At 38.2% G+C, this 25,380-nt stretch overlaps 1 protein-coding gene across 10 annotated transcripts in view, besides 1 other annotated feature; it reads left to right on the forward strand.

The window, feature by feature from the left end:
* DPP10 (dipeptidyl peptidase like 10) overlaps positions 1 to 25,380 on the forward strand; it is a 1,403,140-nt gene that overhangs the window by 204,797 nt on the left and 1,172,963 nt on the right. The window lies entirely within an intron of this gene.
* Positions 4,372 to 5,176: an enhancer, noted in NCBI's record as "OCT4-NANOG hESC enhancer chr2:115409386-115410190 (GRCh37/hg19 assembly coordinates)". NCBI's record gives its function as "activates a minimal SCP1, AML or CMV promoter by ChIP-STARR-seq in primed H9 embryonic stem cells {active_cell/tissue: H9 hESC(primed)}" and the evidence as "EXISTENCE:reporter gene assay evidence [ECO:0000049][PMID:30033119]".

Raw genomic sequence — 25,380 nt, forward strand, 5'->3', positions numbered from 1 at the left:
GGAATTTCCCTAACTGCTTCAACATTCTTAAAGTGACTAATTTAATTGGATTTATAGGGCACTACATAATAATGATATCCTTTGGCTATGTTCTTAGTGGGTTCTACACCTGTAATGAAATCCATAATGAAAAGGAAAACAGAAGTACATTTGGGATGCAAAACCACTTAATTTCCTGGACAGCCATTAAAAATGTGGCATCCAGTGCAATACCTTAACTTTGATTTTACCTTCAGACACCTATGATGATGATTCTGGTTGTTGGTTGTGGGACATTAGAATAATTGTGTCAGAAGAATTCCCATCGCATCCTAGATTCACACAGCATTTCTCTTACTGGAAACCCAATTCATTAGTCATCTGAGTTGGAAAACTGGGACTCTAACACTGGATGTTGATTTTATTTATTTAATCTTTTGTGTTCTGGTCTTATTTCTGTTGTATTTGGGGGGTCCTGTCTGCTATCTCCTGTTCCTGGTGTTGAGGTGTAGTGTTCTATGGCATTTCTGCATGTCCTTGGACTATTTTCCAAGGAATATTTGTTTAACAAACATCCTTCAAAGATAGAGGCAGTATAACCATGAAATGTCTCCCTCCAGGGCAAGGTTAGACAGGTTTGCTTGAAGCTCCCTTCATAGATTGTTTTCTAGCTTTGGGATTTCTTGGTTTTGGCAAAATATCTATCCTGTGAGTTGTATCACCCTGAGTCCACTTCTACGTGACTCCCACTCTCGTCCTCCCCATGACACTTGAGTGACAAGGGCAACTGATCAAAACAGAAAGCTCATGCTGCCTCCTGTGTTCTCCTTAATAAAGTTCATTGTCTCTGATCCAGGAGTCTCATGTCTTCTGAGATCATCTATGAAACTAGCAGGTTAACTTGTTGGCTAGCAAGTAGGGTTAAATCTCAGACCCTTCACAGTTCTTGACACCCAATTTCTTCTTTTTTGGAGCCTTAGCCTTAGATCTAGATGATTAAGTCCTGCTACATGATCTTCATCCCAGTATTTCTCCCTTGCTTAAGTGGCTCAGCCCATATTTCCAGTACCAGTTCCCACTAAATTACCCACTAAATGTGGTTCCCTCCCTGTGGTCACAAGGAAATAGAGAATTTTTGTAGTTCTCTAGAATGGGCAGGACAGACATATTTGAATGTATTTGCCCATTCTAATTATTTGATAGTGACAGTCTAGGGCTTATGATGGAGGGATTCAGTCGTTGTATCTAAATTCAGGGTGAAAGGATTGCATGATCAATAGGTAGGTATAAGAAATGGTCTAGATACTTAAAGTCCAAAACATCTGCATCAGGGCTCCAGAGTCAGGTGCACCCAATGCTAAATGATATGAAGAACTGGTAATTAGAGTGGTACATACATACAAAGTGAGCTATTTTTGATGATAGTGAAGCCACTATCCATTTAAGTAGGTAACTACTCTGGTTATCACAGAGGAAAATGTGGGAAAATATGCCAAATTTTCTCCAATCCTTTCTGTAATTCCTCTGTAGACGTGCAAGTATGATCCTTCTCATGAGGTTTAAGGGTGGAAAAGCACAACTAACGTGGGCATTAGTGCTATAAAGCCACTGTTAATTTAACAAGTTTATAGAATGTGCTGGTAATTTACAAAGTTTAAAATGGTGACATTTCTGTCTATTTTCCAGTACCAGGAAAATCTGTAAGTCTCCTGAACATTTAACTTTTTAAAAATAAAAACTGTGGTACTTGTTATTAACATATTCTTTGCTTTGCCTGTTAGAAAACCTAGGAGGAATTTTTTCTATTAACCAGAAACAGTTCTCAAACTCTGATACACATTAGAAACACCAGAAAAATCTTAAAATTACTGATACTTGGGTTTCGCCACCCCAGATTCTCACTTAATTGGTATGTAATGGATCCTGAGATTTTTTTTTTCTTTTTTTTTTGAGATGGAGTCTTGCTCTGTCACCCAGGCTGGAGTGCAGTGGCGAGATCTCGGCTCACTGCAACCTCCGCCTCCCGGGTTCACGCCATTCTCCTGCCTGATTCTCCCGAGTAGCTGGGACTACAGGCACCCGCCACCATGCCCGGCTAATTTTTTTTCTGTATTTTTAGTAGAGACGGGGTTTCACTGTGTTAGCCAGGATGGTCTCGATCTCCTGACCTCATGATCGGCCCGCCTCGGCCTCCCAAAGTGCTGGGATGGATCCTGAGATTTTTTGAAAGTTCATCATACAATTAAAATATGAAGCAATGATTTGAAAAACACTATTTTATAGGATTTTAAACTGTCTAGAATTCAGTTTTGGACTAGTATATAGTAGGGATCAAACTTTTATTTTCCCAAATAGCCAACTTTTCCAATGTTATTTATATCTTCTACTTTTATTTAGTAGTTTTTTTTTCATCATTGATCTTTAAAATGATATCCTTATAAATTCCATATATCTGAATCTGTTTCTGGATTCTCTATGTTTTCCACTTGGTTTATTTGACAACTTTTTAACCAGTATCACACCATTTAAATTACTGCAGATTTATGGAGTGTTATAATAACTAGGAGAACAAGTTTTGCCTTATTGCACTATTTTTTCAAAATATTATTGGCCATGTTATACATTTTATTTTTCAGAGAAAAATGTAGGAGATTTCGATCAAGTTTCATCGTCTGATGTTTTGGGCCATAGGGAACCAGTCAGTCTCTGTATTCCAGTTTGTGAAGTACGGTGTTTTGATTGGTCACACCTGAGTCTTATGATCTAACCTTGGAGCACCGTCTGAGAGCACACGATGTGAGAACAAGAAAGGTGGTTTTGGGAGATAGAATGTGGTGTCAGAACTATAGAGTGAGAAAAATTAGAGATGGGGATCCTGTTACCTTGAAGGGCAGGGATGCCTGTTTTGATGCCTGAAGCATCCAAACCCAGCAATATCCCTAATTTTATTTTGCTTTTATGGTACCAAGAATGAGTCCAGGAGATAATTTTAAATGGTAGTGCTCCAAAAAGTGATACATGTACGCTACATGAAGTGGTTACAAATGAACTATTGTTGTTCATGAACTCCACATACCCATCATTAAGTGTGCTTTTCAATACTGCATTACTGTGGCTGCCTTCAAGATTGTGCTGTAAAATTTCCCTACATTAACTTTTCACTTATTCAGAGCATCCCATTAGTTTACATGAGAGAAAAGGAATTAGAAAGATAAGGAGTCTAAGAAACCTTAATAGATGGGAGAATTCTATTAAGTAAGCATAATCAGGCAAGGAGTCTCTTGGAATTGAATTGGAATTTCAAGGTCACAAGTCCTATCAATCCGCTCCCTCTAAAATCACCTTCTCATCATCCTAGCAGATGAGTCCTCCATCCCCACATCCTACATAACTGCTTCAATAAACTCTCATTAAGGATTCCATTGAAGATACCATGTTTTTTCCTATCTCAGGGCCTTGGTACATACTCTTTTTACTGCCTAAAAATTCCCTCACCTTCTTTTTTTCCTTTTGTCTAGCTAACTATAACTCATACATTCAATATTTTCCTGGTAGTATTTTCTTAGAAATACTTAGGGAGCTTAGAGTGACATTCAAGCTCCTTCATAGTTTGACTACCACCTATGTATTGTTTTGGTCTATCTCCTAGTAAGCCAGGCTAGTCACCTAAATGCCCTCCTTTCTCCTATTGTTTATGGTTGTGTCACTTGCATACATTACCTGCTTGTAGAGCAGCCCTCCCACTCAGGAGTAATAGGTTTTATTCCTACGAACTAACATGCACTTGACTTGTACTTAGTCACATTTTGACTAGAATTACAGGGACTTGAAGGTATGTGTTGTGTCTGGATCTGCCCATATGTTCAAGGTATTTCTTCCAAGTAAGTCTGCATTACTCCAGGGTAAGCGCCAGACTTCCTCATTTTTCTACCTTTCATGGAACTTTTGCGTGAGTGGCAAGGAATACTCAATGGCAGTGTTTCTCAAGCTTTACCCTCATCAAAATGACCTGGAGACCTTGCTAAAACACGATTGTTGCAACCACCCCTCATACCCTGTACCCACCAAGCCTAAATCCATCTCAGATGGAGCCCAAGAATTTGCATTTCTTATAAGCTCCAGTGATATTTAGGCTGCCAGTGCTAAAATCACACTTTGAAAACCACTATTCCGTGACACTGTTTTAAAAACTGGTTGCATGTTAAAATCTCCTAGAAACGGTTAATTAAGATTTTTTTTTTAAAGACTGTGCTTGGGCTCCCCTCTAGACAAATCAAGATCTCTGAGGATGCCACTTTTCTCATGAAAAGAAAAAAATTCAACAATCCGCAACTGTTAGGAGATTTTAATATGCAGCTAGTGTTGAAAATCACTGTTCATACAAATGGCAGATGAGTAAGCAGAGTCATGAACAAGAGAGCAGGCTTGCTGGGAGCCTAGGCCAGAGCAAATGTCATAACCTCCTGAGGCAGCGTGAGTTAGGGCATGCATCTCACATTTTAATGTGCTTGCCCGGAAGATGACGATAGTAAATCTGGGATGTCTCTGAAATGCTGCTGGTCTAACAAGCTCCCAGATGATTCCTATCCGTGAACCCCACTCTGATTAGCAAAGTTGGGATATCCATGAAGAAAAAAGGGTCAGTGCGTGCAAGGGATGACAAAGGCAGGTGAGTGAAATGGGGCTTGAGAGCCCACATCCGGTAATCCTTTAGAATTTCAAACATAAGAAAGAAGGGGAAGTGCTGGGGGGTGGGTTCCCCTGTGGAGGAAGTTACTTCTAAGCCATCAGTTTAAGACTTTAAGTGAATTTCTGGGGAAAGCATCCAGTTTTGATAAGTCTGGCCCAGACTAAATATATAATTTCTACCTAATTAAGGAGGCAGGCACACAGGCAAAAAGGTAAATGCAGCTTCTGGAGGCACATCCTAACAGAACCCCAGAGAAATTTTATCAAAGTCTGTGGGCTTTCTCCATCTTCTTAGCTGCCTTCATTGAGAAGTAAATTTCCATGGGAGAAAATTAGGGTTTTGCTTCATTCCCAGTAGCTGGCATTAAATTAGTCCTGTAGAATGTGTTTGGAGATCATGTTGATGAGCAGAGATTGTCTAAGCAGCAGGTGTTACGAATTCATTTAATCATTTAACCACACACCCTGCACATATTTCAGCTTTCTTAGGTTGACTTTTATTTGCAAAACACCTATCTGAAGGTGTGTTATAGTGGATGTATAATTGATGGTGCTTGTCGAATTTTATGCTCTATAAATGCCAGATACATTTTCCCCAAGTATGCTCTTTCTTGATCCATTTCTCTAAAGTAAACATTTGAAACAAATTTAACTCTTGAGGGATTCTGGCAGGACTCACTTTCTCACTGATTTTAGAGCTTGTGTTCAGGTTGGGGAGAGAGCATTATAGTTTCCAGACTCAGCTCAGTGTAAAACCATCGTGCCCAGACAACTCACTTAAAAGGAACAGGAAAGTGCAGTTAGAGAGCCTTTACTCCACCCATCTAGATGCCAGGCTACCACCAATGGGCATCTTGTTTTCCCTCTTTTCTCTCTCATTGGAAGAGAGAGAGAGAGAGAGAGAAAGAGAGAGAGAGAGAGAGTGTGTGTGTGTGTGTGTGTGTGTGTGTGTGTTTTACTACCTGTAGTAGTTTGAATGGTGACCTGGTGACCCTCAAAAAGGTATGTCTGCATCTTGAAACCTGTGACTATGACCTTATTTGGAAAAAGTGTCTTTTGCAGACGTAATTAGAGATCTTAAGACAAGATCATCTTAGATTATCCAGGTGGATTCTAATTCCAAGGCTAACTGTCCTTATAAGACACAAAAGAGGAGAAGGCCACATGATGCTGGAGGCAGAGATGAGAGTGATGCACCTGTAGCCCTAGAAGCCTCCAGACCTGGAAGAGGCAAGGGACGGAATTTCCCTGGAGCCTCTGGAGAAGGAAACTTTGTGGAGCCTGTGGAAACCGATTTTGGACTTCTATCCTCCAGGATTGTGACAGAATAAATTTCCATTTTTCTAAAAGTCACCCAGTTTGTAGTAATTTGTTATAGCAAACCCAAGAAAATGAATATACTATGCATCAGCTTGGGGTCGGGAGGTGGGGCACAGAAAAAGAAAACAAGTTCCCAGGCCCTCCTAAAAGTCATTTTGTTTAACATTTGATCCATGCATTTGTCATGCCCTCCAAAGGGGACTTCTGCAGAAAAGTTCTCAGTGTCCTTCAATAAGATAGAGCCTTTCTTTGCTCCTACCCTAACCTTGAATCAAATACAGCTTGGTGGGCCCTGACGCTAGAGGAATTCTCAGTGGCTGGGCTGGCGGAGAGCTATCTATTTGTGTATAGGGTTGCAGCCAAAGTCTTTAAACTAAAACTAAAACTCTGTGGATTAAATAAAATACTGGACATGCAAAAGAAGATTCTCTTCGGGAATCCCTGTGTACTAGCCCCTCTGTGTAGTGAATGCTATCACTTTTTCTTCTCGCTTTTCTAGATAGGCATCTAGAAAGGTGTTCAATCTCTTGGGGGTAATCCATAGGCCTCCAGGGTTATTTCCAAAAGTCTTGTTGATGTTATCAGTGTTAACACAGAACCTCTTCTGATTAGTGTTCAATCTTACTATGGAATAGCTTTTTTCTCTCAAATATTATTAGAAAATTAGTAAAACATAAAAATGATCAGGTTTGGCCAGTTTTACCCCTACTGTCCTACTGCTATTCAAAGACCTAGCACTTCTGTACATACGAGTAAACTGCACTCGAAATGGTATTCTCTGTTTCTGCTTCTACTTAGGTTCCAAGGCAGGTAAGCAGTCTAACCAGATGACAGGTGAGCAATCTGAGGTGAAGTGACTTCCCATTACATGACTTTTGACCCCCATCGTTGTCTTGGAAATACTTTATGCTAAGTATTAGAAAGAAGGAAAACCTACTGGCTGTTGCAAACAATTTAAAATAACTTAAAGTGGAAGAAAGAAGAAAAAAGCAGAGTGAAATTTTATAGGGTGGGGAAAACCTGGAGGAAACTTTCCTTTGAAAGCCAGGAGTCCAAACTATAGATAGGATAGTACAGAAATTCAGCAATCCCCAAGTGTTCTAGCAGAATTTAAAACAGAGGATGAAACTTGGAGAACTCTGGGCTAGTTGTGACCTTCAGATATACTTTAAAAAAATCAACTAATATTTTAAAATCAGTATTTTCACATAAGATTATGACTTTTTTTTTCTTTTGAAAATTTTGTAAGATCTGGCAGCATTGGGCCTTTATTGCTGCATTGTCAGGAACTGGGCTATGGGTGTTCCTTCCAGTTGAGGGCTGTTTGAGGTCTACTCTGTCATCTACCTGGCCAGTCCCAGCAAAGCTGGATGTAGTTAAACATGGAAGGCACAACTGGACTAGGGGAATTGGATAAGTCCTTGAACAAGTACCTGAGTTAAAACATCATAAGTTAAAAGGAGGGGATACTGGTGTGAGTTCTGTTTCTCAAAAATGGGTGTGGAGTTCTAAAATTAATGTTAATTTGGGTTCCATTTTTTCCAATTTCCCCACTCTCTGCCATATTGTATTCTTTGACTTAGCATTAGACTTAGATAAGTTAGTTAATATTCCTGTAACTTCGGTGCTTCATACACAAAATGGGAACAATTATAACTACCTCCTAAGATTTTAGTAAGACTGAATAAGACAATGGATAACAACGACACAGCATAATGCCTGAAGCATCATAAGCACTTAAATGTTGGTTGCTATTATGATTGGTATTCTTTAAAAAGTGCTATTACTTGCCATTATTGACTTTTGAAACTGGAGGGTTCAAACAAACAAGATGTTGAGAGGCTCAGGCAACCAGTATGGTTGGAAATAATAAGAAAGTTAGTTACCTACCGTGATACTACACTAACCCTTGAAAAAACGTGTGGCGTTTAAAGAAATTTCTGCTAAATTTCTGTTTGGCTTCAGCAAAACCTCGTGTTCCACTTTCAGAGCATGAAAGAGGCAGTTAAGGCAAGAAAAGCGCATTTAGAAGTTTAAAGAATGCAAGTATCCTATGGGTTGAGAAATGAGATTAATCCTTCCTTGACTAGTGCTCTTTTTACTGGCAGGATAAATTCTTTAGGAAAAAGAGTTATGCTGGCTGTGGAAGTAAATAGTGACAGGTGTTCTTTTGTTTATTTTCTATGTATTTTTCAACCCCAGGTCCATTTTATTCTCAAATGTAACTTCTTTTCTTAGTCAACCTGCTTTTTGGTAAAATTGTTCTTAAAGCATTCAGCTTACATAATTAAATATGGTTGTGTGGTTACCTTTTATATCCGAATGTAAGGACCTCCATATAATCTAATTATTTTTTCCATTAAAAAAAGATATTTCACAGACACAAGCTATAGGTAAGGATTCATTACAAAGGAATCTCATTGTTTTAAATGAGCAATTCCATTATTTTTGATTCTGCCGAGAGTGGGACCTAATTCTGTCAAAGAGAGAAGGTTGTTAAGATTTGGTGGTCAGAAACACATGACTTCCAATCAAATTTAGCAGTCCTAACTATCGAATTAGGTGTTGTAAGTTTATGTGGGCTTTCCTAAGGTGAATTGACTACAGGGGGCATAGTTCTATCTAAGGAATAATTAGTTATGTTGAGATTCAATGTTATTTGCATATTTGTGTCTTTGAAATTCCTCTGAAAATGAGTAATTTTTAGCAATTATTCTTGGTGTTTGAGTCCATTGAGCTAGTCAAAAATTTATAATTGCAAAAACTTTGGCCAAATTATCAGATAGAGCTAAGATTCGGTTTGGGGTCTTAGGAATTCCTATTATCTCCTTGAACTTTGGGATGTATCAGTTATTAGAATTTAGACAGTCAACGAGCTTGTTGAAATTTTTTTTGGAACAAGATCAGTGGAATGAATGGAAACAAAGAAGGGCATATATTTGTAGAGGAGGAAAAGGAGTGATTTGCAGAAGATAAAAAAGGAAGAAGATAAAGGAGAGGACGGAAGGGGGAAATAAAATTCACATAAATTGCTTATCACTGATATTATAGAAGTAAACTATTTTATAACAGTATCTGCAATTTATTGTTCACATAGCCTTCAAAGAAAGAAAGAAATGAAGCAGTAAATCACCTTGCCTCAAATTATAATTTTCCTTACTTGTGCAATATTTATTGAGCAATTTTATGCACAGTGTTGTGTTTAGTGGTGAGGATATGTAGCAAATAGGACAAAACTTCCGTTTATACTGGTATAGTATGTTTGTGCACATGTGTGGTGATGGTGCCAAGTGACTGTTGTAGAAGAATAGTGAAGAATGAACAAATTAGAAAGTAGAGAATTACAATAGAGAAGGAAGGCACATGAGCCTCTCAGGAGAGCTTAATTCTATTGCTACTTTCAATGGACAATAATATTTTCAAAAGGTATTAATAACTTCAATACAAGGAGTCTTTCAGCCTAAGTGGTCAAACCAAGTTAAGAGAAAAGGAAAACTAAAAATAAAAATAAAAAATAAGATCAACTTTATAAGCACCGTTTTGATCTCAGATCTTTGTGGTAAGGCTTGGGAAACAGGACTTTGCATATGGGAAGATCATAAATCTGGGCCTGTCAGGGATTTGAAGAGCCCATAAAAGTCAGTACTAGGTGTCTCTGCTGTGCTCCGAATCTGGAAGATTAATGGGTAATTTCGACTTCCTGCTAATTCTTTATACAACCAGGCCTATATCTTTTAAGATCCAAAAGATATATTACCATAAAAAGTTTCTAAGAAAATGTGTAATATAACCTATTCTCCTTCTATTTTCACGTTCTTTCTTTTTCTCCTGTAGTCATCATCAGACAGTTAAAAAGAAATGGATTTTTGTCAACTTGAAACTCAAGCTTGAATAACCAGAAATAGGAATCTTCCCCATTATGTTTCAAAATGATTTTCAGTGTACCCTTTCCTAACTAGTCATAATTTAGCTTGAGAATTTCAAATATTAACATATTAGTCATTAGTTGGTATTATTTCAATTTTTCATTCTTGTTTAAATAAATTCAGCTTGTCAGCTCCATATACTAATTACTGTCAATGGTTTTCTTTTCTCTATAATTTAAAGTCATAAAGTAGTAATAATTTAGTTCTTTATACATAGTTTGAGCATAACCCATCGTGAGAAGGCAAGATGTAATCATCACTAAACATATTTGTTTTTACTAAATAACAGTTTCTAAATTTGAAAAACTTCTCTGTGGGTGATATGTGAGGCTGACACATTGAGCAACACCATGAGCAGATGTAGTAGCATACGTGAAAAAATTGGTTAAGCTTCTTGATGTTTAATGAAATTTAAGCACAAAAAATATATTCATGTATAACTACTTTTGGCTTAATAATTCATGCATTTATTTGCCTGTAAATACTCTTTAAACTTCTGTTATGTGCAAGATATCATCCTAACTGCTATAAAGCTTATAAAGGTGAATCAGGTTCAACTTCTTTCCTTAAATAATTTACAGTCCAACCTACGCATGTGTATAAATAATCTACCACCAGAAAATGCTAAATAATCTAAATGGGGCATTTTTAAAGTGTTGTGTGATTTAAATACGTATTTGTGTGTGTGAGAGAATATGATATATGCATTCATATATTTGAGTTGAAAATATATACACATTTGTGAGACAGATTAGATATAAGCTTAAAATGTGTATGTGTGTGCACATGTGCATAGGAGTATATGTGTGTAAGGGGGTAACAAGGCGTTCACAAATTTCATTAAGAGACTACCATTTGAGTTGACTTTGAAGCACAGATAAGATTTGGAAGTATGGAGATAAAGGATATTTGACAATTTGACATGGTGGAGAGAGTATATGAAGGTATGAGCAGAGTCCAGCAGGCTGACAAATTGGGACCTGTTGAGAGGACAATGATAAGCTGTCTTGGCTAAAAGATAGGAGATTAATGAGAAAGAATAGTGGCAAATAAGTTTCAAAAGTAAGTGTGTTTCAGATGTTAAGTTTTTATTATAGATATTTTGATCTTCAGTTTATTGAAATGGAGTTCTGAGTAGGAGCAAAGGAATACCATAAAGGCTACAAAAATGCTCTTAGTTAAAAGCAGGATCCACTAGGGTTGGGTTGGAACTGAAATAGGTGTTTAAATTTTCAGTATCTTCAGTTTTGTTTGTTTTTACTGTGCTTAGACTGTTGGATCACACATATAAGACTGCAAAGCGCTCATTAAAGTGAAAATATATGCAGACGTTTATACCCGGTATAACAGATAAATTGAGCATCTCTCTACAGGTGTATCCCAATTTTTTGCTATGTATACCCTTAGTGGATACCTGTGATTGAATGTAATTATTATATCTTCTGGAATGTGAGCATACACTGATTGATGTCAGACATTTAGACTGTGCTATGGTTTGGCTCTGTATCCCCACCCAAATCTCATCCTGAATTGTAATCCCTGTAACCCCCACATGTCGAGGGTGAAACCTGGTGGGAGGTGATTAGATCATGGGGTTTCTCCCATGCCGTTCTCGTGATGGTGAGTAAGTTCTCATGACATCTGATGGTTTTTTAACGTTTGACATTTCCTCCTACACACTCTCTCTTCTCTCTCACGCTTCTGCTGCCATGTAAGACATGCCTTCTTCCCCTTCTGCCATGACTGTAAGTTTCCTGAGGTCTCCCCAGCAATAAGCCAGGTGTAACTGTGAACCAATTAAACTTCTTTCCTTCATAAATTACCCAGTCTCAGGTATTTCCCTATTGCAGCATGAAAACGTACTAATACAGACTGTGGCTAACAATAAATTGTATGTGGCAGGAGGGTTTCAGAGTCTTGTCATATAAACAGATATGAGAAGAGGCCGTGGATAATTTAAAATTCCATAGCAAGCAATTTTTTTTTTTAAAGATTCAAAAATGAATTGTAAGAAGGGGTGATAAAAGGACCACCTCACTGGGGACTATTGCTTAATCTTTGCATTGGCTGCACATTGCCTCATGCATTGGAGACAGAGCATTATTTCTGACTTTAAAAAAATCCCCACACAAAGCCAAGTAATGGGGTTTAGTATTAGGCCTACTTCTATTTTTTTTTTCCTCAGAGTTTGCCAAATATTTGATTTTTTCAGAAAACAATCACCCAAGAGTGCATTCATTGCTTCCTGCAGAAATGTGCCCTTTATTAAAAATAGTTTATCTGGGACCTGCAGTGTGTTGAATTGTGTCCTCTAGAAATACATGTTGAAGCCCTAACCTCTGGTACCTCTGAATGTAATCTTTTTGGAAATGGATTTTGCAATGTTAAAAAATGAAGTTATACTTAATTAAAATGGGCCCTAAATCCAATGTCTAGTTTTGTTATAAGGAGGGGGAAATTTGGAGACACTTAGATGTACATACACACAGAGGGAAGAGAGCTGTATAAAGACAGAGGGAGAAACTGATGCAGCTACCAGCCACGTAATATCAAGTGTTGCCAGCAACCACCTGAAGCCAGCAAAGAGGCATGGAACAGATTCTCTCTCACAGTCTTCAGAAAGAGCATGGCCATCAACACCTTCATTTCAGACTTCTAGGCTCCAGAGCTGTGAGAGAATAAATGTATGTGGTTTTAAGCCACCTTGTCTGTGCTACTTTGTTACAGCACAAAGAAAGATGGTACAGGAAGGAAGCTGGTAGAGCACAGAAGAAGCTGGTATAGGAAGCTGGTACAGGAGCCAAGAAACAGGGAAGGAAATAGGTGGGCTATATCGTGTTTCCTGCCTGATCATTATCTCCAATAAACAGATGTGTACATTAAGAGCCTTTGTAACAAATATGCTTAATATTTACAGGATGCATATATTAGCTGGAAAAAAAATTACACTTTTTTTTCTAAAAATATTATGTTCTATCCTTGACACCTGCTCAGAGCTTCTGCAGAGAGAGATTTGTGGGAACCCTGTGTCTTACCAAAAATCAGCAATCACACAAGAGGTGTAGTGTCCTCCACAACCCTAGTTTGTGGGCTTAAGACCAGGTGCCCTGATTAGATCTTGGACATATAATACTAGAAAGACTCACTCAGTACTTAGTATGGCTTGTTCAAGTGTTTTATAGGAAGTGCAAAGGGCTTAGAAACAATAGAACTTACTTGATTCCTGACTTTGAAACTCATTAGAAAGTGACCTTGCACTGCTGAGGAAACTCTCCAGACGTCATTGGTAATAGGAGAGTTTTTAGGAGGTGAACTTTAATGTCCCTTTTAGCTCTGTGATTCAATGACTTAATAGATGAATAATTTTCCTAAAATAAGTTATAAAGAATCCAAATAATAGAACTAGAATTTACAGTTTACTTGGCAGTAAGTACTGGCTCTCAAATAATTTTAATTAGTTCTTGTTGAATTATGAAGTTTATTTTATTTGTATTTTATTATAAATGAACTGCAACTCTTACTTTTAGATGATTTTGCTAAGAATAAAGGAAAAGGAAGTAATTTGAATTTCAAATTTTTAGCCCATCAAATGTGAAATGAATATTTAAAGGTGAACAATAAAATTAGGCTGCATTTTTGAAAAATATTTCTGCTTGCTAAAATCAGAATTATACAGCCACGACCTTTAAAATAAAAGACAGAATTTCAGATAAATGCAGTGGTTGTAGATTATAGTTTCTGGAGAATTCTGCCCCAAATGATATATGCTCATTCATCTTTCCTTTCAAAGAACAACAATTAAAAAAAAATCTTTCAGTCAGTTGAGTGTTCTGGAATGCTAAAATAATATGAATGGCTTCCACTCTTCCATGTTAAAGTGAGTCCCCCAAAGGTTTACAATCTTTGATGTCCAGCCATGCTTGACTTGACATTTGAAAATTCTCTAGTAAGGAATCAAGGTAAATGGAGCATAAGTTTCTCTTAGCAAATTTGGTTTTGTAGATGTCATACTACATGCATGTAATATACATGACAATTACTCCACAGATTGGGGCACATGTGTTAATGTCACGAGAGCATCAGTGGGAAAGAACCTAAATTTTGTAATGTAATCGTAGTGGGATGGCAGAATTATCACATAATTTATATGATAAAGCAAAAGGAAGGCCGTGTCCCTGTAAGGATTCAGGCAATACAAGTCCACACAGAGCATTTCTCCATCTTAGACATCTTTGCACATCTTATTTCATCCACATTCATTAGCTAAGTAACTCAGGGATCTCTGTCTTTTTTGTTGCTGTTTGTATGTTCTATTCTGCTGCCCCAATCTTTAGCTGATACAACAAAAGTATGAGTAAGAAACAGGGCATTTATAACGCACTGTAGACTCCATGGCATTTGGACACTCAGTAATGTGTTCTTGGTACTTTATGAGAATGTGCACAGTGATGGGGTTTTTGCTTAGCCAAGGTTTTCTTCATTCAGCAACATCATGAAAACGTCTTCTCCTTAATAAAATAATAACACAGGAATGAAGATTTCTGATACACAATGAGCCCAGGGGTTGACAAAGGAACTTAATCTTTATGAACTTGGGCTCTCCGGGATCGCGCCGTTGCACTCCAGCCTGAGCAACAAGAGGGAAACTCCGTCTCCAAAAAAAAAAAAACAACCCGGGCTCTCCAGGCCGCGCCCCGAGGCCTCAGGTCGGCCGGCTGCCCCTCCCTCTGCTCTGTTCCTAGCAGGGCTGGAAAGGCCTCTGCCGCTCAGTGGGGACCCAGCAAAGCCAAAAATCAGGTCCGGGGGAAGAGCGAACGGTGCGTGATGGAGGCTCCGAGGGGGAGCGAGAGGCGGAGGTCGCACAGTGTCCTGAGGGGGGAGACTGGAAAAGCAGACACGCAACCGTGGGAAGAAACCCGAAGGAGTAAAGAACTCAGAGCGAAAGTCCAAAATCTCCTCGGCACGCGGGCCTCCCTGCGGGGGCGCGGGCACCGCTGCGCGGGGAGCTCCGGAGCTGCAGAGAAGCTTCCACTCTGCCCGCGCCGCCCTGAGCACAGGCGATGGGCCTCGGAGGGAGTCCGCGGAGCGGGACGCCTGCTGCTTGGACCTCGGCGTGAGACTTCGCGGGACGCAGACAACTTGAATGCGTGTGTCAGACCCGCGACCACTACAAGACAACGTCCAGAGACCCAGCCCCGGAAATGAAGAAAGACACTTCCGGTTCTCAGAGGGCGCCGTTCTTCCCTGAGAACACGGTCCAGGGAGGCTGGATGGCCACCGCGTCCACGGAGAGAGCACCCCAGGAGCTCCAGAAAGAACGTGACCACAACGCGCAGAAACCAAGCTGTGAGGCCAAGGTCCAGCCTTTCCCGCATGGCGCTTTGGCTCCTGGGGTTCTGCTTGCAGCCCACAGGGGCCCTGAAGTGCCAGGGGGGGACCTTGGGCCACCAGGAGCGAGGCAGGCCACGATTTGAGGGCTTAGGTCCAGAGCACCTGCTGCTTTGATGCTGTTTCCCTCGTAGCCGGGTCCTGAATGCCCAGAGACTCGGCAGAACATCAGCTGGTGCTACTCGCCTTAAGGCACTTTTGATTGAGTTCTTGTCAGTTTAGCTACTGTTCATTAGTTTATGCGGAAATTGTTCTTATTGAAGTTTGATGAATGGTGTTAGGTTTGTAAGGTACTGTTTTTCAAATAAAGACACATATATGTGTATACATGTACATATCCATATATATGGTACAGGAAGGAAGCTGGTACAGCACAAAGGAAGCTGGTATAGGAAGCTGGTACAGGAGCCAAGAAATAGGGAAGGAAATAGGTGGGCTATATCGTGTTTCCTGCGTAATCACTATCTCCAGTAAACAGATGTGTATATTAAGAGCCTTGTGTGTGTATATATATATATATCTATATATATATACACACACATATATGTATACATATACATATATACATACACATATATGTATGAAATGAGTGAGCTCTGGTTTATTGATTATCCGATGACTGGCAGTTATTGAATAATCCATCTTCCCCTTGTCTATTTGAAATACTTGCTTTCTCATATTTTAGTTGTCAATGTGTCTTGGATATATTTAGACTTTTGAAAATTATTTTCCAGTGATTTATTCTAGCCCTGCCCCAACAGGACCCGCTGTAATTTTGGTTGTTTTATTATACATTTCAATGTTATTTAGGACAAGTCCCTGTCATTATTCTTCTTTTGTATACATCATATACGTGTATGTACATATGTATATACATATATGTCTATATATACATGTACAGATATATATATATATATATATATATATATAGAGAGAGAGAGAGAGAGAGAGAGAGAGAAACTGACTGACTTGGGCTCTCTAGAGCCACCCTACTTGGATGCAACTCCCAGATCTGCCACTTGCTAGCTGTGTGACCATGAGCGATTTACTTAGTCTCTCTGTATACTGCATGCCATAAAAAGTAGAATTGGAATGGCAAGAGGATCTTCCTCTGAGGACTGAGTTAATACATATAAAGTATGTAGAACATCACCCTTAACATAATAAGCACTCGATAAATCATAGATATTATTATTAATGAGAGCTTAAAGATGGGTAACTAGAGAGACAATCTGGGGAAGGAGCGTAAGTGTGCATCATCTGCAGACATCACAGGGAGCAATTGTATAAAATGCTACAGTTGAATCCTCACAGTTTGAATATTTTAAACTTGAGATACCCAGATTGAGATTCTCATTGTGGTTGGCCAATCCAGAGCATGAGAAACTGAATTTCAATTATTCATATTTTTGCACTCAAAGCTAGCTCTTTCAGAGCTGCTCTCTGGAACTCAGGCAAAACATTACAGTTAAATTCTGAACTCCTTTCCCTTCTTCTCACTGAAGAGAAAATTAACAAGAAGCATGTGGATAAATGTAAAGCAAGCAGAAGAGTCATAACCCTTGGAGAGACTCAAGAGTATAGTTCAGTAGAAAGTCGTCATGTCTGGCCAGGCGTGGTGGCTCATGCCTGTCATCCCAACACTTTGGGAGGCCGAGGCGGATGGATCACCTGAAGTCAGGAGTTTGAGACCAGCCTGACCAACATGGTGAAACCCCGTCTCTACTAAAAATACAAAACTTAGCCGGGTGTGGTGGTGCGCACCTGTTATCCCAGCTACTCAGGAGGCTGAGGCAGGAGAATCACTTAAACCAGGGAGGCGGAGGTTGCAGTGAGCCGAGATTGTGGCACTACACTCCAACCTGGGTGACAGCGAGACTCCGTCTCAAAAAAAAAAAAAAAAAAAAAAGAAAGAAAGAAATTCATCTTTCTTTTTTTGCCACGAGTAGCCACAGGCACAATCGGGGATGGAGAGGAACACAGATGGCATAGAGCATCCAAAAGATGGCATAGAGCATCCAAAAGATGGCATAGAGCATCCAAAAGATGGCAGAGAGCATCCAAAAGGTGGCAGAGAGCATCCAAAAGATGGCAGAGAGCATCCAAAAGATGGGATAGAGCATCCAAAAGATGGCATAGAGCATCCAAAAGATGGCAGAGAGCATCCAAAAGATGGCAGAGAGCATCCAAAAGATGGCACAGAGCATCCAAAAGATGGCATAGAGCATCCAAAAGATGGCAGAGAGCATCCAAAAGATGGCACAGAGCATACAAAAGATGGCACAGAGCATACAAAAGATGGTATGGGGGTTGCTGAGGGGACTCTGGAGTCCCCTGAAATCGCATAGGTCTCCTATAAATTCATCAGTACCTTATATTACAACATAGTGGTCAAGGAAAAAAATGTATGCTGAAAAGTATATTTGAATGTTGCCACAGTAAGTTGCTTTCCTGGACCTAGCCCTGTGACTGGACCCCAGTAACCAGAGAACACCGCACCCAAGTTAAAGAAGTGAGATAGTACAATCAGTCCACCATTCTTGAGCTACCTGCCTAACAGCCTGGCCTATGCAGCTTTTTCTACATCCCTGCACATCCTTCTCACCTACACATTATCTCTGCCAGAAGGGAAATCAGCTTGTTCTTTGCATGCACCCTTTTTTCTCTTATCATTTTTTTTCTTGTAATGCCGCCTATGACTGCTACAAGAGAAAACACGACATGAAGCTGCTGTGTCCATTGCAGGTTCCTTGATTTTGAGCAAAGGTGGAAGGGACCCATGGCTTCTTCACATTCGTCAAAGGAGGGAAAGGAAGCTGTCATTGGAATGTCAGACCTAAATGTAAACAGATTTCACAGAAAATCTTTCATACTTCTCATTTAGGGGAATTAGTTTGGATTGTCTGAATAATAGATATACTAATATTGTTATTGTAAACTGAAATTTTATAGAAATATAAGCCCTACAATTCCAGATGACCCCCAAGAGAAAAATGTGTTGTCCATGGGAAGAAAAACAGATCAATGAACTGGAGGAATGGTGTGACCCAACCACCTTCACTCATAGAAATTACTGTGCTTCATTCAGTACATAGTATATATTTACATTGCAGGAAAACAAGGTCTGGGATGGTTAGTTTTGCTCCAGTAGCCTGGAAAAAGCAGACTTGCCTATACTTGCAGTTCTGGCTATGATAGACTCTGTATGTCTCTAAGCTTGAATGTAATTAGAAATCTTAATATACAGCCCATCGGGTCAGAACCTCGAAAGGGATGGATGGAGACACACCAAGTACCATCATTTTTTTCTGAGTTTTATCTTATATATACTAGTTATTGGTACTTACTTTATATCTTCAGAACTTAGAGTTTTACCCATCACTGAACACTTCATCAAAATGTAAGATGTTATCTTACTCCCTATTCCTAATGCATAGCTCAGTGCTAGGTACATAGTAGTCATTTAACACTGTTTTAATGAGTAGATGAATGAATATGTGGATATAAAATGTGTGTTCTACTTATATAAACATCTCAATGCACAGGTTAAAAACTTTCAAAGTAGGAAAATTTAAACACATTTATTTTCCATTCTATTTTATTTCTAACACTGATATAATATGGCTTCTATAAAAAAGAATACCAAAGGGATGAAAATGTAGTATTATCTCCTTTTCACATAGCTGAACAGCCACTCATTTCTTTTTCATATGAAAACATGAAGACCTAGACCTATTAGTAGGAGCCATATCATGGGTATTTAGCAAACGCCATTTTCATCTGAAGGAGGAAAATTTAGAATTTGATCTCTCAGCTGCCCTCAGCCATGTTAGAATTAAATAAGTGATCATATAGGCAACCTCTAAAGTCCCATGTATATGCAAGACTGAGACAGAGAGACATAGAACCAGATAGGGCAAGAGGTTGAGGCACCTTAGAGGTTATCTAGAGGAGTTTTCTTAGGTCTTAAATATAGAAACTTGGACCCAGAAGGGGCAGACAGACAACATATTTACTCAAAATAATACTGTTATAGCTGTTAGACTAGGAATGATGACCTGGTCTCATCGTAGAAAAAGGCATATGATGGTAAATACATAGTATAATACTAAATGTTTTATATGTCTTAATCGTAACTATATAATAACATGCTCATTAAAACATGACTAGTTACTTTTTACTTTTTTCTATTTTCAAGCATTCTCTTGTCTAGGAGTTAGGGAACATTTTCTGTAAAGGGACAGATAGTAATTTGTTTAAGTAATTGGTAATTTCTTTACTGGCAAAGAGGCCACATACTTTGCCTTTGTAGCGTGAGAGTAGCCATAGACACTATGCAAATGTGTGAGTGTGGCTGTGTTCATGGGCTCCAAAATAAGGCCTGGCTGGATTTGGTTCAATGGCCTCAATTGGACTACCCATGCTTCATGCTTTTAATTAATGTTCATCGATTAAACAAATATTATGTACCAGACATTGTGTTATTTGCTGGGATACAAAGGTGAATAAAAGCTAATTTTCATTTCATTATATCATGCCTTAAACTATAGTCATTGCCTTTTTTTTAATTAAAAGTTATTCGTGAATTATTAGCTCTCTAAGGTAAGAAAAATATTACTTTGTTGGTATCTTTCTAGTTGATGTAACCTGAAGGATAAGCTCCTTCTTCTAACATGCCTTAACCAAGGGAAGAAAGAAATGCAAATGAATTAGGTATGCTTTGAGTTTATATGAATATAACTGACCTTCTTAATATACAGGGCTTAATATTATTGCTTAGCTCTACAAAGGAAGAACAAAACTCAGTGTTTCTGTTGAAATTTGCCTTCAAAGAAAATGGAGTCAGTGAACTACAGAATCCTTGAGATCCTTTGTGGAATATTCATGCTTGGCAAATCCCCCTCGGGTGTACTAATATTGCTCAAATAGAGCTCAAGGGATATTGAGTAAATGCTGCTACAGAGGGGATAAGACTTCAGAAAAGAAGAGTACAAACAGAAACTTACGTTTTTACAAAGAACTAAATTGTGTGAGTGCTAATAAGAATGCAATCTAAGTTTAATCAGGAGTGGCTTGTAGAAGTTAGGTAAGTACAAATCTGAAACATTCTGATAACTGTAACAGAGAATGTTCTACATGCTTGGACTTGGAAAAAAATTCTTATCAAATGAAGTTTTGAGTTTTACAAATATTCAATAAGTATAGACTGATTGAATGTCCTTTGTATCTTTAGGTCAGTGACCTCTTGAGGCTTAAGAGAAAGAAAACATTTTTTTTTTTGCTAAGAGGTGGCCCAGTGGAAATTTAACAATCTAGCTTATAAAGTATTGGTCCTGAGTTCTCCAGAGAAACAGAATTAACATATGAAGAGATTTGTTATGGGAATGGGCTCATGTGATCGCTGAGGCCAAGAAGTTTCATAATCTGCCATCTACAAGCTGAAGAAACAGGAAAGCTGGTGGTGTGATTCAGCCTGAGCCTGAAGCTCTGGGAACTTGTGTATAACTGGGGAGGCTGGCAGTGGAGGATGGAACTGGTATAAATGCCAAAGTTTAAAAATGTGAGAACCAGGAGCTGTGTTATCCAAGAGAAGAAGAAGATGAATGTCCTAGCGCAGAAAGAAAGAGAGATCTTCCTCCACCTTTTTATTCTCTTCAGGCCTTTAAAGATTGGATAATGCCTGCCTACATTTGGGAGGAAGGATTTTTGCCTTCTCAGTCTACTGATTCAAATGCTAACTTCTTTCCAAAACCCTCTGATAGACACAACCAGAAATATTATCTTACCAGCTATCTGAGCAGCCTTAGCCCAGTAAAGTTGGCACATAAAATTAACATCACACACTATGAATGAAAAACCTCAAAATTAAACCCACACTCAGCAAAAATGAAAAGTAGCCTAAGGTAAAACCTGATACTTGTTTATAATTTTCACCACCAACTGTTGATATGGGCAGAACTAATGTATTTTGCTATGGAACATGGCTTTCCTTATATGTGTGAAAATAAGAAAGTTGTCTTTGCTGACCCTTTCTTTCTCTGTGGAATGTTCCCTCCTCTATTCTCTGATAGGAGACTTTTTATTGCATTTCAAGCTTCAGAAGTTATGCCCTTTATTATTTTCTCTCTCTCCTGTATTTTCATCATTTTTTACATACATGTAATGAATCAGTTATGTTCTCTCGTAAATGTCGTGTTCTCATGTAAATATCATGTTCTCTTGTCTATTTCCCTGTCTTCTGCAAGACTCCATCCAGGACGAGGGCCATTTCTTAACATTGCTTGAGTCTGATCATCCACTTAGTATTACTTAAAGCATAGTGATTAGCTCAAAACACGTTTGTTTAATAAACATCAAGGTTGCATCTACTTTCTTGTTGTTACAACTGTTCCCCACTCATCTCTAGTGATTGCTATTTTAAAATTCTGATTCATGTTTAATATCAAAAAGCCTATACATTTTAGTGTAATACTTGGATTCCTAGTATCCCTAGCTTGAGATAACAACAGTATCAAAGGCTACCCTAATTTCAGCAATGCTTTTAATAAATGCATATGCAAAAAGCATTTGTGTAATTTTGAAAAGCTAATAATATATGTAGGTGTATGTGTGATTGTTCAGCCTACAGTAGTCAGTGTACATGTATGTTTCTATAATAAAAACCTGGGAATTAAGCTGTTGCACTTAATGGGGCCTTTGGTACTGTGGATGGGGAAGACTCCCTTATGTCAATGAAGGAGTTACGTCTTTCTGTAGAAATTTTGTCTCTTTCTTTCTCACTACAGATCATCAGGTTGACAGTATTGAATTGATGGCACCCTAATAAGGAATAGCAATTTTCATGTAAATAATTTTATAAAATACTTTCTTTTTGCTGCTTACTACTTACACAAGAGAACAAATCAGTTCTATTACCTAAAAGACATACTAATATTATTTAGTAATTTGTCATTTGGGCTACCTTAAATTGCCAGCAGTTTTGGTAAGTGATATCAGCTTTCTCTCATAAAAATGGCCATTTTTTTTATTATTACAAATAACATGACTCATTTCAGGGAGAAAAAATATAAATTTAAGTCACCTCCTTTCATCAACATTAGGCTTTTCCTAGTCAGGGACCCCATTTAATGTCTGCAAAATTTAAAATTATTTTTATGCAGCCAAAAGACACATGAAAAAATGCTCATCATCACTGGCCATCAGAGAAATGCAAATCAAAACCACAATGAGATACCATCTCACACCAGTTAGAATGGCAATCATTAAAAAGTCAGGAAACAACAGGTGCTGGAGAGGATGTGGAGAAATAGGAACACTTTTACACTGTTGGTGGGACTGTAAACTAGTTCAACCATTGTGGAAGTCGGTGTGGAGATTCCTCAGGGATCTAGAACCAGAAATACCATTTGACCCAGCCATCCCATTACTGGGTATATACCCAAAGGACTATAAATCATGCTGCTATAAAGACACATGCACACGTATGTTTATTGTGGCACTATTCACAATAGCAAAGACTTGGAACCAACCCAAATGTCCCACAGTGATAGACAATGATAGACTGGATTAAGAAAATGTGGTACATATACACCACGGAATACTATGCAGCCATAAAAAAGGATGAGTTCATGTCCTTTGTAGGGACATGGATGAAATTGGAAATCATCATTCTCAGTAAACTATCGCAAGGACAAAAAACCAAACACCGCATGTTCTCACTCATAGATGGAAATTGAACAATGAGAACACATGGACACAGGAAGGGGAACATCACACTCTGGGGACTGTTGTGGGGTGGGGGGAGTGGGGAGGGATAGCATTAGGAGATATACCTAATGCTAAATGACGAGTTAATGGGTGCAGCACACCAGCATGACACATGTATACATATGTAACTAACCTGCACATTGTGCACATGCACCCTAAAACTTAAAGTATAATAATAATAAGAAAAATTATTTTTATCTAATCATAAAATCTACATATGCCAACATACAGATCATAAAGAACAAGTTGTATTTATATTTCAAGGGAAAATTATGTTTACTCTATTACCTATCATAATAATGCTTGTCTGTTGTTGTAAGCCATCCATCATCTTAGAAGTAAATAATTGTTGTGCTGTAGGAAAACACATCAATATAGAGAATGATGATGGTGTGATTATAATAATTATCACACATATCATAGGTAGTTACTACCATTTAATTCTGTTTTAACATATTATAGAGCTAGTAAGGTCACATTAAGGAGAAGACACAAGATGAAAGACCCTTAAAGAATTCTTGTTCACTGGAAATTACAAGAATAAAAGTCTGAAGCAAATTTGGTTGACAAGTCTTTTTCTGGCTAAACTATAGTTATTGATATCTAGTTATTGATATTATGGGTTTAAGAAGGATTAAAATAACTTTCAGTTGGGAAGAATGTTTTAAGTAGTCATCTAAAAGATGAGAAAGTTGAAAAGACTAAAGACTTAGGAGGCTATACCATCTAGATTTGTGTAAGTACGTTCTATGAAGTTTGCACGATGTCTAAATTGCCTAAAGATGCATTCCTCACAATGTAACACTGTTGTTAAGTGTCATGTGACTCTATAATACCTAGGAGATATAGTTTGGATATTCGTCTCCTCCTAACCTCATGTTGAAATGTGATCTCCGATGTTGGAGGTGAGGCCAGTGAGAGGTGTTTGAGTCTGCTTGTTTCTGCCTCACCAGAAGCAGATGCTGGCACTATGCTTCATGTACAACCTGCAGAACCATGAGCCAAATAAACCTCTTTTCTTTATAAATTACCCAGCCTCACGTATTCCTTTATAGAAACACAAAACTGACTAACATAATAGGATTTGGTAATATCATGGTGCCAAGCATCCACTGGGGGTCTTGGAACACATCCCCCTTGGATAAAGGGGGAATTACTATCTCTGTATCTTATACCTGACTTAGATGGCAGGGCTTTCAGGATTTTGCCAGTAAACATAATATGTAAGGGCTGCTGGGTTGTGTTACAGGTATTTTATCAGTTGTGTTGTGTGCGTTTATTCGTACAGAATCCATTGGTTTCTAGTTTCTTGTTTCTGTTATTTAAAAAAAATATATTAAGCATCTACTAAAACTTTCCAAATACTTTTCTTTCTTTTTTCACTTTTTTGGAGGGAAAATAATCATATTTTCTCACATTCTACTGTTGTTTTAATAAGGTACTAGAATTGATTTGCTAAGACTTTGTTTAGAATATTTGCATATTGTAAGTGGGATATACTTGTAATTTTTTTCTTCAGTCCTATATTCTAAGTTTTCCTCATGGTGCTATTATGATTTTGTAAGAAAGAATTGCATATATTTCTTTCTTAATTTATATAATTGATTCCCAACATGGGCTGCATATCAGAATTTTAAAAGCTAGAAATGCAAGAAATTACTAAAGCCAGGGCCCTACCCTAGATCAATTACATGGATGTAGAGTGTCTGTGATTTCAGTTTAATACAGTCTAAGATTTCTTCTCTTTTAACTTTTCAAAAGAAGTAGACAAAAAAGAGCACTTGGAAGAAAACAGGGTTAATGGAAATAATGTCATATTTTCTTTCTGCAAGTTATCCCTTTTTCTGTCTTTCTCTTTCTCCCCCCATTTCCTTCCCATTCTCCTACAAAGAAGTGTTTGGGCAATAAATTAGGTGGCAGTACTCTGCATGAGTGAATAGTTTGCACTGATACTCAGTGCTTACCTATTTGTGTCAATACTTTCTGAGTATGTTCCATCTGTAAAATTTGAAATCACAAGTTCCTTCTCAGCTCCAGGAGATAACAGATGAAATATCAGGCAAGAAATGAGAAGGATGTGATGCTGATTGCTTTCTGGAAGACTCAATTTGTAAGCTGCTGGGAATCCATATCTTTCCCAGTTGACCTTTCTTGTTATACCTTCTGTACATTTTTTTCCTCTAACATAAAAATTATCATGGGGATTCGTAGGAGATTGTCTGATTCTTGAAACTGCATTTGTTACTTTGTGCAATTTATAGCAGCTTTCCACAAGTAATTTATCAGTGCTTGTTGTTTAGTGCCCTGTGAC

Source organism: Homo sapiens, chromosome 2 (genome assembly GCF_000001405.40).
Source record: "Homo sapiens chromosome 2, GRCh38.p14 Primary Assembly".
Taxonomy (NCBI): Eukaryota; Metazoa; Chordata; class Mammalia; order Primates; family Hominidae; genus Homo; species Homo sapiens.